At 38.4% G+C, this 17,789-nt stretch overlaps 1 protein-coding gene across 8 annotated transcripts in view; it reads left to right on the forward strand.

Annotated features, from left to right (window-relative positions):
- Window positions 1–17,789, forward strand: part of AKAP6 (A-kinase anchoring protein 6) — a 508,387-nt gene that overhangs the window by 42,207 nt on the left and 448,391 nt on the right. The gene's annotated exons all lie outside the window — the stretch shown is intronic.

Below are 17,789 nucleotides of genomic sequence, written 5' to 3' on the forward strand. Positions count from 1 at the left end.
GCTGAAGCTGGGGGATTGCTTGAGCCCAGAAGTTTGAGGCTGCAGAGTTACGATCATTGCACTCCAGCCTGGGTGACAGAGCAAGACCCTGTTTCTAAATAAAATAAAATGATTCTATAAAAATTGGTGACATTGGTCTGCAGTAGAGGGAAAAATCATGGGGAGTTGAAATAGGTGAGAAAAGCTTCATGAAAAGGTGGGATTAACTGTTGTTTTTTGAAGAATGATCTCATAAGAGGAAGTTAGAAAGAGGCAGGGTACCTCAAATGTGGAGACTAGAAGGAACTAAGGTGTAGCTTGGAGTCAAAGATTCCAGGTGTAGTGGGGTGGAGTGGAAGCTCCTTAGGGAAGCCACTTACCTGATTTGAAGGGTGGTTTCCTCATCTGCAAGATATGCAGATTAGTACTCTTTCACTCCTATTTCTCTTTCTCTCTCTACTTCTCTTTTCTTTCTTCTCTCCTTCTCCCTCTTCCTCCCTTCTCTCCTTCCTTCTCTTTTTTTTTCCCTACACATATTTATAAGTACCTACTTTATTCCTTAATTGTACTGTGCCCTGGGGATATAGAATGCTCCTACAAGGGTCAGGGCCTCACAGAGGAGATGAACAAATAAACTGCTGTACAGAAGGATGCACATGGTCCTGAGGAGGCTAGCTTGAGGAAGGAGTGGCTAACAGGTTGGGAACTGGGGAAGACTTGTTATGCAAATCAAAATTGTAACCACTTTGTAAATACTAAGTATTTATTAATGTAACATTTTTTTCTTTTACTTGTGATGCATTTTTTTTTTGTGGCTTCTGTGACTCTTTGTAAAGGAGTTCTGAGTCACTAGTTAAGATTTTTTATAAAGAAATACACCATTAGCAGGCCGAGGAGGGGATGTTTTAGTTTAGTGAAACTTGGACCAGTGTCAATTTAATGGGTCAGACGTAGTGTTTGTAATGGGTAAGAAGTACTAGTCATCCAAATCAAATGGCCATAACAATGAACTCTGAAAATAGTTATATATTTTTTAACAGAGTAAAGCTTCTTTATAGCAATATAATTCTTTAAGATCACTTTTTTTTTTTTAATTTTTGGAAGCTAGAGACAAAGTAGAGGAACTGGCAAGATTCAGATTTTTGGAATCAAGCATTAAATTATTAATTGGCAAGAATTTTTCTGAAAACACTAGTAGGAGGAATTAGGAACCCCACAAGCAAAATAACATTACCTTGGAAGAATGAATGGTATATTCAGTTTTACCTCTACATCTTTTTGTTGCTCTGTGTGTGTGTGTGTGTGTGTGTGTGTGTGTGTGTATTCACATGTGCTTGTGTGTCTGAGAGAGAGAGGAGAGAGAAAAAGAAAGAGAGCGAGCGAGCATTATGGGATTTGGGTAGTTTTGGAAACTTTCTTTTGAGAATACTGAGAATGATTGGGGGAAATTAAGTGAGTGGTTGAAGTACTATTGCTAATTGTTGCTTGTTTTAGGAAAAGATGATGTCAGACACAATCCTTGGTAGAAATTTTGAGAGAATTTTTGATGTTTCAGAGTCTGACGGTTCTAGCTCTTTATAATATAAATTTCATTTCAAAATTTATGGCTTTTTTGGGGGGGTGGGGTATAAGTGTAACTGCCTAAGGGATTCACCTTGCCTGCTGCCTAGACAGAGCCGATTCATCAGGACAGGGGAACTGTAATAGAAAAAGAGTAATTCACACAGAGCCAGCTGTGCGGGAGACCAGGGTTTTATTATTACTCAAATCAGTCTCCCTGAGCATTTGGGGAGCAGAGTTTTTAAGGATAACTTGGTGGGTGGGGGAAGCCAGTGTTCCAGGAGAGCCGATTGGTCAGAGATGAAATCATAGGGAGTTAGAGCTGTCTTCTTGTGCTGAATCATTTCCTGGGTGGGGGTCCAGAAGATCAGATGAGCCAGTTTATTGATCTGGGTGGTGCCAGCTGATCCATCAAGTGCAGGGGCTGCAAAATATCTCAAGCACTGATCTTAGGTGCAGTTTAGGGAGGGTCGGAATCTTGTAGCCTCCAGCTGCATGACTCCTAAACCATAATTTTTAATCTTCTGGCTAATGTGAGTCCTACAAAGGCAATCTAGTCCCCAGGCAAGAAGGAGGTCTGCTTTGGGAAAGGGCTGTTACTGTCTTTGTTTAAACTGTAAACTAAGTTTCTCCCGAAGTTAGTTCAGCCTATGCCCAGGAATCAACAAGGACAGCTTGGAGATTAGAAGCAAGGTGCAGTCAGTTAAGTTAGATCTCTTTCACTGTCTGTCATAATTTTGCAAAGGCGGTTCCATAAGGTCATTTTTAGCACTTCTAGAAATAGACCAAGCATTAGCTAATTGTCAGTGAACTTCTCCTCACACGTAAAAGTCTTTATAGGAAGAAAAACCCTTACTCCATAATTATAGAAGACAGATTTGAAATGTATGTAACCCATTTGGATTAAATACAACAGCTGATATACTTATCCCTGGTTAAAGATGAGCGATAGTAAAAACCCCTGGCGTATGGAACAGAGGACAGACAGATTGCCACTGAGCAAAGTAAAAAGGCCCAGAGACAGCAACTTAAAACTTTGCGTAAGGAATAGCATACTTCTTAGTCTGGTGTTCAGTTTAATTCAGAGACATATTGAGGACCTAGAATGTGTTGGGATATGCTGGGTATTGTGTATACAAAGACTGGGAGATAGTCATCAAGGAGCAGCTAGTGCAGTTGGGAAAAACACATACGTAAGTATTAATCACAGCTCAACACGGTAAGTGCTACAATGCAATTGAGAGAGAGAGAGGCAGAGAGACAAAGAATGAATATCAATCAGTTAACTTTGTCCGGGGAGTCATCCCAGAGGAGATGCTGCTGCTGTTAAAAATGATTAGACATTTGCCAGACAGAAAAATAATGAAAGGCTCTTCCAGGCAAAGATAGAAGGATGACAAAGGCTTAGCCACAAAAAAGTCTATAAGGCATTAAGGGGATGTTGATTCATTCCATTTGGTTAGAACATAGGGTCAAATCAGTAGGAGGATGGAAGGCTGGAGTGGTAGATTGGAGCCAAGTTGTGAAGGGCCTACTTAAGGTATTTGGATGCTACCCTGTAGACAACCCGGAGCCTTCATAGTTTTACTCCTCCTTCCCCAACATTTTATTATGAACAGTTTTAAAGTATAGATTTTATTTTTAAATAAAATGGAAAGAATTCTACAATCAGTACTAGTATAACTACCATTAGATTGTACTATTAACATTTTGCTAAACTTGTTTAATCACCTATCTATCCCTTTATAATCCATCAATTCATTTTATTTTTTATACATTTCAAAACAGATTGTACGTTTCAGTACATTCCTCTCTAAATACTTCAGCATGACTATCATTAACTAGTGTTCATTGTTTGTTTAAGGTATTTGATAGAAAAATTATAATCTTTGTAGGTTTTAAGATATGAAAATAAGATAATCAATTTTGTATTTAAGAAACATCATAGTGTGGAGGATCAACTGGAAGAGTGAAACAAATTAGAAACCTATTTCATAAATCTAAATGAGAGGTGATAAGAATGTGATGAAAGCCTGTAGTAGGAATGAAACAGTACTAATCAATTCAAGAAATAATCTGGAAATGGAATCAGTGGATCAGTTGATCACCCAAATGTGGGGAGGGAAGTAGTGGAGGCAAAGGCAGGGTTGAGAGAATAGAAAAAGTAAAAAATGAATTCAAGGTTTTCTAGCTTTGACGACTGGGTGTTTGATAATGGGACACATAATACAGAAGGGAAAAGAAGTATGGAAGTACACTACAACAGAAGATACTATGTGCAGTTTTGAACATGATAAGCTCAAAGTACCTGTAGGACATTTCAGGTACACATGTTCAGGTGTTGTTTGGAAGTACTCTCTGGAATTTTAGAGAAATATCAGGGCTAGGTTTGTAGATATGGAGTGTATCAGGCTAGGGAATTGAAGCTATCACTAAAGGAGAACATTTAGAGTAAGCAAAAAAAAAAAAAGTGGCTAAAGGAATTCTAAGGAAAGCCTATATTTAAGGAACCTGAAGAAAATGCTGTGTCAATTAAGGAAGCAGAGGGGATTATTCAAAAGGCAGGAAAGGGAATCACCCCAGATGGAAAGATAAATAACATTTATTATTTGTCAGGTATGATAAGTAGTTTATATTCATGGGCTCATCGAATCCTTCCTGTTAACAACCCTATTTTATAGGTATGCAAATAAGGAAAATCAGGGAAAGAAAAATAATTTGCTGAAGGTCTTAAGATTAGTAAGTGAGTGGCAGAGCAGATTTTGAGCCAAAGTCATTCAGACTTGCCTTAACATAGTGGCTAAGGAAAGGGAGTTTCCAGGAGAGAGTAGTCAGCAGGTCACAGTCATCCGTGATATGACTCTAACTTACCTTTCCAACTTTGTCTTCTTCACTTACTTAAGATTGGTCAATTTAAAATGCTCCATATTTTCTGCACAAGCTCAAACTGTACTAGGACTTCCAAAGTATTTTGTAGATCACTAGTTCCATGAGATGCTCTGAAAAAAAGTGTACTGTAGTCAAATGAATTTGAGAAATGTTGCCAACTCTACTATCCTCTTGGAAATTTGCGAGTTAAATTAGCTCATCAAAGGTATTGGGAAGTCCTACAGTAAAGAACCTATTCTAACTTGTCTACCAAGTGTTTTCCAAAGTTATTTGAACTTATTTGACCTTGGGGCACCCCCCACTCCCTTAGAAAATCTATAAACTTCCCCTCAGAACTAGGGTTCTGAAACACTTCAACGAAAATTAGTTTTTACTTTTCCTTAGTTGCTTTTAAGTGAGATATAATAAGCTTTATCTGTGTCTTATTCGTGGTGGTCATAGACTACATCCTCCCCTGCAATATCATTATTTGTGCCCTGTAGTAGCCCTCCTGTGGCCCCAGGAAAATGGAGTCTACGTCTGTTTCATTTTGGGTTCTTACATAGGACCTATTGCAGTGCCTTTCATATAATAAATGTTTGGTCAGTGTCTATTGAATAAATAAACAAAATGGATAAAACACAGAGAAAATTAATACTTATTCTTTTAAATAAAACTAAGTTCTCTATTAAAACCAGACAAAAGAACTATCTGTTTCAAAATGTGGATGTAAAGTTATACTCAAACCAGGCTTTCATCTGAGAATAAGAAGGGTATATGTTTGCAGTTTCTTTTTTCTTTTTTTGACAGAGTATCACTCTGTTGCCCAGGCTGGAGTGCAGTGGCGCCATCTCGGCTCACTACAACTTCCGCCTCCTGGATTCAAGTGATTCTCCTGCCTCAGCCTCCTGAGTAGCTGGGATTACAGGTGCCCACCATCATGACTGACAAATTTTTGTATTTTTAGTAGAGATGGGGTTTCGCCATGTTGGCCAGGCTGGTCTTACTCCTGACCGCATGTGATCCGCCCACCTCAGCCTCCCAAAGTGCTGGGATTACAGGCATGAGCCACCGCGCCCAGCCTGCAGGTTTTGTTTTCATTTGAACTGTTTGCTTTTGGGTTTAGGTGAGGAGTAAATTGAGGAAGGCAACATTTTGGTTATTTCTGTCATGACTGCATATGGAATATACCAGTAGGTCCTGGAAACATCACTTTTCCTAAGTGGTTCTGGTCTTGTCTTATAATTTAAAGTCGGACTTGGATTTCCTAACTAAATCAGTGCCTATCTATGCGTACCCTTTGAACCTTTCTTACTGGTTTGATGCAATTATTTCTCTCGCTCATTCTAGCTTACTATTGGCAGCAGTTCCACTAGTTTCATTATTTCAACTGTGAGGCCTTATATGGAATTTAATCAAATGTGATGTTGTGTCTGATCTTTGTCTCCTTTGAACTGTATAACACATTCAGCCATGTCCTCTTTTGTTTTTCCCATGAGAATAGAAGAGAGCCTTCTCTGACAACCTCCCACATTTTTTTTTGTTTGCATCATGTGGCTCGTCACTCCCATGTGGAAATGTGCATATATGTACGTGCATGAGAGAGAGAGAGAGAGAGAAGCCAGGGTGCCATGCTGAGAGAAAGGCCAGCTATGAGTACAGTCACAGGAGTGTGGAGATTCCTAGAAAAGGGCTGCCCATTTGGGTAAAAATCACTGCTTTCCTCCTACACAGACATCAGCCACACCTGTGTTCAAGTTTCATTTGACTATTTGTTAGCTGGGTGCCCTACTTCTGGAGAACACCAGAATCTTGTGAGTTCAGAGGGCTCTGTAGGAGTTTTATTAACTTACAATACTTGTTTAAGAGCCCCTGAGTAATCATAATTATTATTTTAGAATGAGTCTGAGATTTTTTTATGGAGAAGATAAACTGTACTTGGAGTATATTTTCTTGTTTTCACAGTCTCTTCAATGCCATGAAGAGTAAGTTATTTGAATTTGCATATGTTAAGGTGGTGGTGGTGGTATATTGAAAATTATGCAGAGAGGCAGTAGACATGGTGAATACTTATACTGAAAATTCTAAACTTATTAAATTATTTGCATTTGGGGAGAGAAAGAGAGTCTTGAGAATCAGATCTGGCTGTGTATACTAAAAGAACATTATGCTCTAAAGAGTAACTCTCAAAATTTTTCATAGTGACATTATGGTATGTAATTAAAATGGCAATATTTTGCATGGTATGACAAAACCTAATTGTCATGGCTGCCATATTATATAGGGGAAAAAACTAACATTTAGCATCACTATAATAATACTGAAATATTTAGAGCAAGTATTAGATTTTGTTCTAAAATAAACAACTATTATTATGTCATTGAAATGGAAAGTGTTGCAAAGGGAAGAAATACACTTTGGCTGAATACATGGAAAATGCTGGTGGTATTCATTAAGCATGGAATAATAAGAGGAACAAAATTTCCATCTCCATCCCTTCCCCCATGAAATATCTTATGTGTGTTCAGAGCTCCCTTTGAAGTCCATATATGATCTTTGCTTTAATCCATTTTTAAAGCTTCCTTTGAAGTCAGTGGGAGCTCATTTCTGGAAGAGAGGAAAGTGGCTGAGGACTGGGTACCTGCTGGGGAAGAGGGACCAGCCTAATCATAACAGGAAATAATATTTATTGATTGTCCTCATGTGCATGATCTATTAGGCTGCACACCAAAGTGACTTTCAAACTGGTTTGATTTATTTTCTAGTGTTACAAAGCTATTAAGATGACCAAAACTAGTAACTGCTTTTTAGGATAGTATTTTTTGTTTCAAATAGCTGGGGAAAAATAATACTTATAAATGGAAATACTTTTATTTTGACACTCTCACAGACATCTCATCTATGTGAATTTTCCGGATAACTGAAACTAATACTTATCTAATAGAGCAATGAGCAATTTCTTTAAGGACAATTGAAGAGTGTAGGATTCTTTTCTGTCTTTCTTCCTTTTTTTTTTTTTTTTTTGAGACCGAATTTCACTCTTGTCACCCAGGCTAGAGTGCAGTGGTGCGGTCTTGGTTCACTGCAACCTCCGCCTCCTGGGTTCAAGCGATTCTCCTGCCTCAGCCTCTGGAGTTGCTGGGATTACGGGCATGCACCACCACGCCTGGCTACTTTTTTTGTATTTTTAGTAGAGACAGGGTTTCACCATGTTGGCCAGGCTGGTCTCAAACTCCTGACCTCAGGTGATCCGCCCCCTTGGCCTCCCAAAGTGCTGAGATTACAGGTGTGAGCCACTGCGCCCAGCCATGAGTGTAAGATTATTTTCTTCAGTATGAAATTACTTCAGACTACTTAGTTTTTTAAAGAAAATCTCATTAAATACTTTGGAGCAAGGTAGAAAGCTATTTTCATTTTTCCTGTGTCTTCTTTGCTGCTGTCAACCGTCCTCTGTAATACAGGTTCTCTGTTTCTATTCTGCTGTCTTATTTTACACAGAGTTGCCTGAGGAAGAGCCAGGAAGCCTGAGATAGATGTATACTTTTACATCAGAGTAAAGTATAAAGACTGTTTCTTCTCTCATTTCCTTTTTCTCTCCCCATATCTCATTCTGCTCCTCACTTCCTGTCCCTCCTCTCCTTGGGCTTCCTGCTTCTTTTCCTTTCCCCTTTGATCCTCTTTAATGATGTCAGCCCCTCCTATGAGAGGGTGTCTCCATCATTGTTTGGTATGTAGACTTTGGTCATAGGCTTGAGCTCCGTATCTCTGACTGGATCTTGACCTGGATGCCTCTCAGAACCTCAAACTCAACACTTTAGAACTGAGCTCAGCAACTCCTGTCAAGAACATTATTTTTAGTCTCTAGGTATGATATCACCTTCCATCTAGCTTCCATCTAGCCTGATAATCTGTGAATTGCCATTGACAATGTCTCCTCCCTATCACTCCACCTCTAATCGTGTATCAAACCCTGTCACATCTGCCTTAGAAATTCACAATCAGCCCATCTTTTCTACTCCTCTCTGTCTCTGTCTCATCTAGTCACTTATCACATCTTGGAGATGACCACAGCTGCCTTCTCTCTGGCTACTTCCTTATATAAATTTGTCTTTACAATGTTGCAAATTTTCTTCTTCACATTTGAAGCTCTCCATGTCATTCTCAGACTGAAGAAACCCATTTGTCTCTGCTGAGCATCTAAAGACTTTTACTATCTGATTTGAATCTCTAGCTCCTTTTCTATCCTGTGAGCCTATTGCTCCTGGCATTGAAAATGCACTTGGCAAATGTCTGTGTATCCTTCAAGACTAGAGGGATTATCCTTTCTATGAAGGCTTCCCTAGTGTCTTCAGGCAGTAACTTCCCCTTTTCTGAGTTCCCACCGGCCCCCCGTTCTTTCCTTACTTGTAGTACATGATCGAGCGACCTGTGGTAAATTGTTTTTATGTGTCTCTTGCACCAGAATGAAAGCTCCTAGAGACAACATTTTATAGTTTATTTATCTCTCACTCTCCCTGCCAGTGCCTACCTCAGATCAGGTACAAACTAGCAAATGTTTGGTGAGTGACTGAATAAATGAATGAAGATTTTGAAAGGTCTTTTCTACTTACATTTGGGCTTGAAGTTGTGTTTTATGTTATCAAAGTCGGTGGTTCAGACATTAGTAAAATATTTTAAAACAGATTCTTCCTTCAAGAGGCATATAGACAGAAAAGCTATAAAATTTCTGCCTCTCATAAGGGAAAGCAATCCCAACACACAGAAGGATAGAAAGTGCTGGTCCTTATTGATTTCCCCAAGCCTCTGTACCACCTCCAGAATTATTTGCTGCTAGAGTCCTGTCACGTGAGAAAAGCAACTCGCTACCATTAAAACCACTTGTAGTCAGTTATAGAGAGCAACCATCTGCTTTAGAACTTCGACTTCTCAAGATTTCTCAGATTTCAGTGAATATTTCACTTAAGACCCTCTTACAAAAGAGTTTTTTTTTTCCTTAGTGTTTTTAGCAGGCCTTATACATAAAACAAATCTCCAAAGTCCTATTTTTAAAAATTACAATTCAGTGGAAGAAACATGCCCTCAGAGCACCTAGTCTATGGTAGGAATAAGACAAATTTAAAGATACGTATTAATAGAAAATATCGGCTGGGCATGGTAGCTCATGCCTGTAATCCTAGCACTTTGTGAGGCTGATGGGGGCAGATCACTTGAGGCCAAGAGTTCGAGACCAGCCTGGGCAACATGGTGAAACCCTGTCTCTACTAAAAGTACAAAAAAATTTAGCTGGGCCTGGTGGCACACGCGTGTAATCCCAGCTACTCGGGAGGCTAAGGCAGGAGAAGTGCTTGAACCTGGGAGGCAGAAGTTGCAGTGAGCCAAGATTGCACCTCCACACTCCAGCCTGGGTGACAGAGTGAGACCCCATCTCAAATAAAAAAAAAAATCAGTAAGGTCTTCTTATGATATTTATGGAGATATTCATATTTACTTATGAAGAGAAACTTGGTTCTAGTTTCAGTGAAGTTTCTGGGTAGTGGTAGAGATAGAAAACTATCTTTTGAGTTAATTTAAAAACTAACTGAGAGCATATGACTTTATTCAATCAACATATAAAGTAAAAGTATACTTTGGTTCCACTGTTTGGGCCATTAAAGGAAAGGAAAAGAAAAATAAGACTAAGATCTGGAGGTAGAGCAGTGGGGGAACTAGGAGACAGTGAAGTTTACATTAGAGAGAAAGAATGGGAGGAAGAGAAGAGGAGGAAGAGATCAACATCTTCTGCTTTTTTGGCCATTCCTTTAGTTACCCCTATTCCTCCATAAACCTTCTATTTTAGTTCTCTGCTTCATTGTCCCTCCTTTTCTTCTAACTTACCTCATCTGGCCCCAAACCCTCCTCTAATGACTTGTGTACCCAAGGCTCCTCACATTCTTCCTTTGGTTTTTAACCAGTGTCTCTCCTCACCTCCATCCTCAAACCCTCACCTGCCTCAGGTCCAAAGTACTACTCACTGTATGATCTCGTCTCTTCCCTCTCTTTTCCTAGATGAATGAAAATTTCGGCCTGTTCATTTCCAGTTTGGTGGAGTCCTGACTTATCTTACCTTTGGTGTGTTACTTAACTTTCTGGGCCTCAGTAATCTTATCTGTGAAAAGGGGATTAGTAATACCTTACAAGATTGTGAGTCACCTAGCAGGTCCTTAGCAAACATTGGTTTCCCTTTCTGTCTTTTCTTTTTGCTGCTGTTTCCATTCCTTCACTTCTCTGCTGATACTAGTGCTTTTTGGTCCTCTCATCAGTTAAGCCATCTGCTGGGAATTTGTCTCTGGAATTCTGCTTGGAGCCTACCCCTCTGTCTGAGAGTAAGATTTCAGAGGGAGCCTCTGAATTGAGGACATTTCTGTACCAGCATCAGAGTGGGACATCACAGGTTCAAGTCCTGGTCCCACCATGTTCTCACTGTGTGAGCGCTGGGCGGGTTGCACACTGTCTTTGAGGCTTAGTTTCCTTGTCTATCATTTGAAGATAATAATGATTTCTACTGCATAGGGTTATAATAAGGATTAAGTGAGCTACTTCATGAAAATGTTTAGTAGAATGCCCAGCACATTGTAAGTGCTCAATAAATGTTAGCTATCATTGGCAGATACTTCAATTTAGAAAATTTGTTGAGTGCTTTGTGCCCAGTGACATGATGTCCTTATGCTTTTCATCTTTTCATCTCAGAATGAAAAATTGGCAGGATTCAAGTGCCAGTTACAGTGGCATGTCCAGAGAAAATTCTTGAGAGATGCTTGCTGGGTTTTACTGCCTGTGGTAGATGGGGAGTGTGGAAGTGTATACCAGCTTTGTTTTTCATGGGAAAGAAACTGTACCAATAGGAGTAAACTGTGGTACAGGGGAAGGATGCAGTGATTTGGATGTGGTTGCCTGGAATAGGAGAGATGTGGTAGCAGCTGGGCTGAGGAGAGTGGGCCCGCAAAGAGTGCTGCTGCCACCACCTGCACACCATTGGTATCTCCACCAGCCTTACCCTCTGGACACTAGCTTCAAAATTCCTATATCACCAGAGCCCTACAACCCCTGGTTTAAAAAAATTACTGCTTCAGAAAGATTATGCTTCATTCTAGAATTAGAGATAGAATTTTGAGGTTCTAATCAGGAGGGCAGATTTTATGTGTGTGTGTGTGTGTGTGTGTGTGTGTGTGTGTGTGTGTGTGTTTCTGTCCCAGTGAAAAGTAATGAGAGAAGCTGAAGATGAAACTACTTCAAAATATAAGCAAAATATTTAGTTGTGTAAAAGAAGAATTGTGTTAAAATAACTTTAAAAGAATATCTTTTATTTAACTGTTTGTCAAAAATAGTATATCATATACTTGCCACAGTAATAGATCAAGGCTTTTTAATAGAAAACAAGACAGGACTGTACCTGTCATGACTGTACCATGTCATTTCCTAATCTAGTCTGAAAAAGTGGGTGAATTATCTTTCAAAGAACTGTATTATTTTCTAGAATGACTGCAGTCTCTGAAACCTGTAACGTGTCACATACTCTGAGGCTGAGACAAAATATCTGAATTTGGCCCATCCCAGAAAATTCAGTATGCTTGCCTTAGTGACATTACAGTGGAGTTACATCATGTGATGTAACATATATAAATTCAACTGGGAGCATTTGGAAAGAAATTTAAATATCATGAGTAATTCTGCATATCAATTTACTCAATAAGCCCAGGCCTGCTCTGGGAGCTCCCTGGGGATGGGGAGCATACATTTGCTTTTCCTTGGTTGATCTCAGTTTTCTTGGGCCTCTCCTTGTGGGAGCATCTCCCTGAACTCAAGGTAATTCTGGTGTTTAAACATGGCTCCTGAGTGCAAGCCAACTTTTGCTTAACTCAAGAAACGGTCATCATCTGTTCCAATCCTAGAGGAAAACAGCATTACTGAGAGGCCAAGTATCAATCTCTCATGCGGCACTTTGCTAATGGATTTCAAAGTGAGCATCTTTGACCATATCTGCTGCCTTGAGAACTTAAAGTTCTGATGAACACTCCAGTGTTCTCTGCTTTTGCCATTGTGCATGTAAGTGACCAAGGGTAGGCTGTTAATGGACTGGTTCATGACGCACAAACAGCCACCAGTAATGTGATGTACAGTGCTGGAATTAGGAGCACCTGATTAAGAGTTAGCACTCTGCTAACTAAAGGCTTACGTTTGGTAAATGCTATGATGGCGCAAAATCCCTTAACTGTTGAAATGAGGCTATAGGCCCAAGAGGAATGAATCTTTGGTCAGTGTGTTCCCTTCTTGCTAGAATAATGGGAGGAGGGCTTTCTTTCTTTACTCGGTAAATTTTCGTGATACCGGAGCAATAGGTAAAGTCTCTAGGGTAAAGATTCTGTGTCTTACATTGCCCTAATCTGCAGAGTATTCAGGATGATCTTAAGACCACTAGAAAAATTCTCATGAGGGAGTGGGGGCTAAAATGTGGGAAATTCTAAAGTTGTCACATGTTTTGTTGTTGCTTAGTCATGTGAGGAGGAGAGAAGCAAAGGATAGCTGATAATGGCTACCTACAAGAAGTCATAGAATCATAGAATTTTGGTAACAGAGGGGACCTCAATGCCATTTCTTGAGTTTTAGAGGAGAAATGATTTGTTTAATACGTGGCAGAGCTAAGACCAGAACCTCAGTTTCCTAGCCTCAGGCTGGTGTTTACTTGTGTTATTTCAGTGTCTCTGATGCATTGGTTTAATAGGAACTGGTTTATCCTGCTTTGTGGGGGTTCAGCTCCACCCTTCAATGAGCTCCCTGAAAAGAACAAAGTCCACATTATTGTTACTTGTTTTGGTTTTAGGGGGCATGATTGTCACTGGCAAGGTGTGAAGTGTACGTAAATTCTGAAAACATTTTGTGCTCATATATGCAGGGGTGGGGAGAGATTAAAATGGGGTCTGTTAGGGTGGGTGGAGGGATATGGATGATGCCTATAATGAAAGCTCCAGTTGCAAAAATTGATTCAACTTATGGTAATGGGTGCTGATGGAATTAATGGGGTTTTATGAATATTCCATGCTTTGATCTGCTTGGCATTAGGGAGATCTGCAAGGAGCAAATTTGAAATGATAAAAAGCTCTAGACTACTTTTTTGGTGCTTCACCTGTCATGATGCTGTCGCTGGTCTTGCTTGGCCTTCACCTTCAATAAGAAACTCCATCTTGCCTCATGACACTCTGAAAAAAAAAAGGGTAGATGTAAGAGACATTTTTTTTAGAGAGAAAAGCCGCATCCATTATGCAGATTGGAAGCATTTACTTAAATGTTTACTCTGATTCAAGCTTTGAAGCCCCAGAATTCAGGTCCCATAGCCATAAAAGGAGAGGAATTCTTCCCCTTTATCTTTTGATGGCATTGGTTTGAACAGAAGTTCTGTTTTTACTAAGATTGTTATTTTTTATTTGCAACTAAATGTCTCTGTTTTTTATTTTTATTTCTTTTTTTTTTTTTAATTTCCACAGGTTATTGGGGAACAGGTAGTGTTTGGATACATGAGTAAGTTCTTTAGTGGTAATTTGTGAGATTTTGTTGCACCCATCACCCTAGCAGTATACACTGCACCCTATTTGTAGTCTTTTATCCCTCACCCCCTTCCCACCCTTTCCCCCGAGTCCCCAAAGTCCATTGTGTCATTCTTATGCCTTTGCATCGTCATAGCTTTGCACTCACTTATGAGTGAGAACATACAATGTTTTGTTTTCCATTCCTGAGTTACTTCACTTAGAATTATAGCCTCCAATCTCATCCAGGTTGCTACGAATGCCATTAATTCATTCCTTTTTATGGCTGAGTAGTATTCATCATATATATATGAGATATATGTATATCATATATGATATATCGTATTCCTATATATGGTGATATATATAGTATTCATCATATATATGATATATATCTTACACATATATCATATATATCACAGTTCATATATATTGTACATGTAGTCATATATTATAGTTCATATATTATATATTATACATATATTCATATATACAGTTCATATATTATATATAATACATATATTCATCATATGTATCTATATCTATATCTATCTATCTATCTACATCTCACAGTTTCTTTATTTGGGTTGGTTTCACGTTTCTGCAAAGTATCATTTTCATATAAAGACTTCTTTTCCTCTGGGTAGATACCCAGTAGTGGGATTGCTGGATCAAATGGTAGTTCTACTTTTAGTTCTTTAAGGAGTCTCCACACTGTTTTTCAGAGTGGTTGTGCTAGTTTACATTCCCACCAGCAGTGTAGAAGTGTTCCCTGTTCACCACATCCATGCCAACATCTATTATTTTTTTATTTTTAAATTATGGCCATTCTAGCAGGAGTAAAGTGGTAACGCATTGTGGTTTTGATTTGCATTTCCCTGATCATTAGTGATGTTGAGCACTTTTTCATGTTTGTTGGCTATTTGTATGTCTGCTTTTGATAATTGTCTCTTCGTATCCTTAGCCCACTTTTTAATAGGATTGTTTCTTTTTTTCTTACTGATTTGTTAGAGTTCATTGTAGATTCTGGATATTAGTCCACAGTCAGATGTACAGATTGTGAAGATTTTTTTCCCATTCTTGGGTTGTTCGTTTACTCTGCTGACTGTTTCTTTTGCCATGCAAAAGCTCTTTAGTTTAATTAAGTCCCAGCTATTTATCTTTGTTTTTATTGCATTTGCTTTTGGGTTCTTGGTCATGAAATCCTTGCCTAAGCCAATGTCTAGAAGGGTTTTTCTAATGTTATCTTCTAGAATTTTTATAGTTTCAGGTCTTAGATTGAAGTCCTTAATCCATCTTTAGTTGGTTTTTGTGTAAGGGAAGAGATGAGGATCCAGTTTCATTCTCCTACTCGTGGCTAGCCAATTACCCCAGCACCATTTGTTGAAAACGGTGTCCTTTCCCCACTTTATGTTTTTGTTTGATTTGTGGAAGATCAGTTGGCTGTAAGTATTTGGGTTTATTTATGGATTCTCTATTCTGTTCCATTAGTGTATGTGCTGATTTTTATACCAGTACCATGTTGTTTTGGTGACTATGGCCTTACAGTGTAGTTTGAAATCAGGTAATGTGATGCCTCCAGCTATTGTAAAAGGAGTTGAGTTCTTGAGTTTATTCTCAGCTTGGTCGCTGTTGGTGTATAGAAGAGCTACTGATTTGTGTACGTTAATTTTGTTTCTGAAAACTGTGCTGAATTATTTTATCAGTTCTAGGAACTTTCTGGAGGAATCTTTAGGATTTTCTAGATAAATGATCATATCATCAGCAAACAGTGACAGTCTGACTTCCTCTTTACCAACTTGGATGCTATTTATTTCTTTCTTTTGTCTGATTGCTCTGGCTAGGACTTCCAGTACTATGTTGAAGAGAAGTGATGAGAGTAGGCATTCTTGTCTTGTTCCAGTTCTCAGAGGGAATGCTTTCAACTTTTCCCCATTCAGTATTATGTTTGCTGTGGGTTTGTCATCGATGGCTTTTATTATATTTATTATATTTATCATTTTTTATTTTATTATTATATTTTATATATTATGATATTTATAATATATGTATTGTTTATTATTTATTATATTTTTAATCATAAAGGGATGCTGGATTTTGTTTAATGCTTTTTCTGCATCTATTGAGACGATCATGTGATTTTTGTTTTTAATTCTGTTTATGTGGTGTATCACATTTATTGACTTGCATATGTTAAACCATCCCTGCATCCCTGGCATGAAACCCACTTGATCATGTTGGATTTTCTTTTTGAGATGTTGTTGGATTCAGTTAGCTAGTATTTTGTTAAGGATTGTAGCATCTATGTTCATCAGGGCTATTGGTCTGTAGTTTTTTTTTTTTTTTAGTTATGTCTTTTCCTGGTTTTGGTATTAGGGTGATACTGGCTTCATAGAATGATTTAGGGAGGGTTCCCTCTTTTTCTATCTTGTGGAATAGTGTCAATAGGATTGGTACCAGTTCTTCTTTGAATGTCTGGTAGAATTCTGCTGTGAATCCATCTGGTCCTGGATTTTTTTGTTGGTAATTTTTAAATTACCATTTCAATCTCGCTGCTTGTTATTGGTCTGTTTAGGGTATCTAACTCTTCCTGATTTAAGCTAGGAGGGTTGTAGCTTTCCAGGAATTTATCCATCTCTTCTAGGTTTTCTAGTTTATGTGCATAAAGGTGTTCATAGTAGCCTTGAATGATCTTTTGTATTTCTGTGGTGTCAGTCGTAATATCTCCCATTTTATTTCTTATTGAGTTTATTTGGATTTTCTCTCTTCTTTTCTTGGTTAATCTTGCTAATGGTCTATTAATTTTATTTGTGTTTTCAAAGAACCAGCTTTTCATTTCATTTATCTTTTGTATTTTTGTTGTTGTTGTTGTTTGTTTGTTTCAATTTCATTTAGTTCTGCTCTGATCTTGGTTATTTCCTTTCTTCTGCTGGGTTTGGGTTTAGTTTGTTCTTGTTTCTCTAGTTCTTTGAGGTCTAGATTGTCTGTGCTCTTTCAGACTTTTTGATGTAGGTGTTTAGGGCTATGAACTTTCCTCTTAACACTGCCTTTGCTATGACCCAGAGGTTTGGTAGGTTGTGTCACTATTGTCATTCAGTTTGAAGAATTTTTAAATTTTCATGTTGATTTCATTTTTGATCCAATGATCACTCAGGAGCAGGTTACTTAACTTCCATGTATTTGCATGGTTTTGAAGGTTCCTTTTGGAGTTGATTTCCAGTTTTATTCCACTGTGGTCTGAGAGAGAGTGCTTGGTATAATTTCAATTTTATTAAATTTATTGAGGCTTGTTTTGTGACCTATCATATGGTCTATATTGGAGAAAGTTCCATGCACTGTTGAATAGAATGTATATTCTGCGGTTGTTGGATGGAATGTTCTGTATATATCTGTTAAGTCCATTTGTTCCAGGGTATAGTTTAAATCAATTGTTTCTTTGTTGATTTTCTGTCTTGATGACTGTCTAGTGCTGTCAGTGGAGTACTGAGGTCCCCCACTATTACTGTGTTGCTGTCTATCTCATTTCTTAGGTCTGTTAGTAATTGTTTTATAAATTTGGGAGCTCCAGTGTTAGGTGTGTATGTGTTTAGAATTGTGATATCAAGGCCTTTTATCATCATATAATGTCCCTCTTTGTCTTTTTTAACTGCTGTTGCTTTAAAGTTTGTTTTGTCTGATACAAGAATAGCTACTCCTACTTGCTTTTGGTGTCCATTTGCCTGAAATGTCTTTTTCCACCCCTTTACCTTAAGTTTGTGCGAGTCCTTATGTGTTAGGTGAGTCTCTTGAAGGCAGCAGATTGTTGGTTGGTGAATTCTTATCCAA

Source organism: Homo sapiens, chromosome 14 (genome assembly GCF_000001405.40).
Source record: "Homo sapiens chromosome 14, GRCh38.p14 Primary Assembly".
Taxonomy (NCBI): domain Eukaryota; kingdom Metazoa; phylum Chordata; class Mammalia; order Primates; family Hominidae; genus Homo; species Homo sapiens.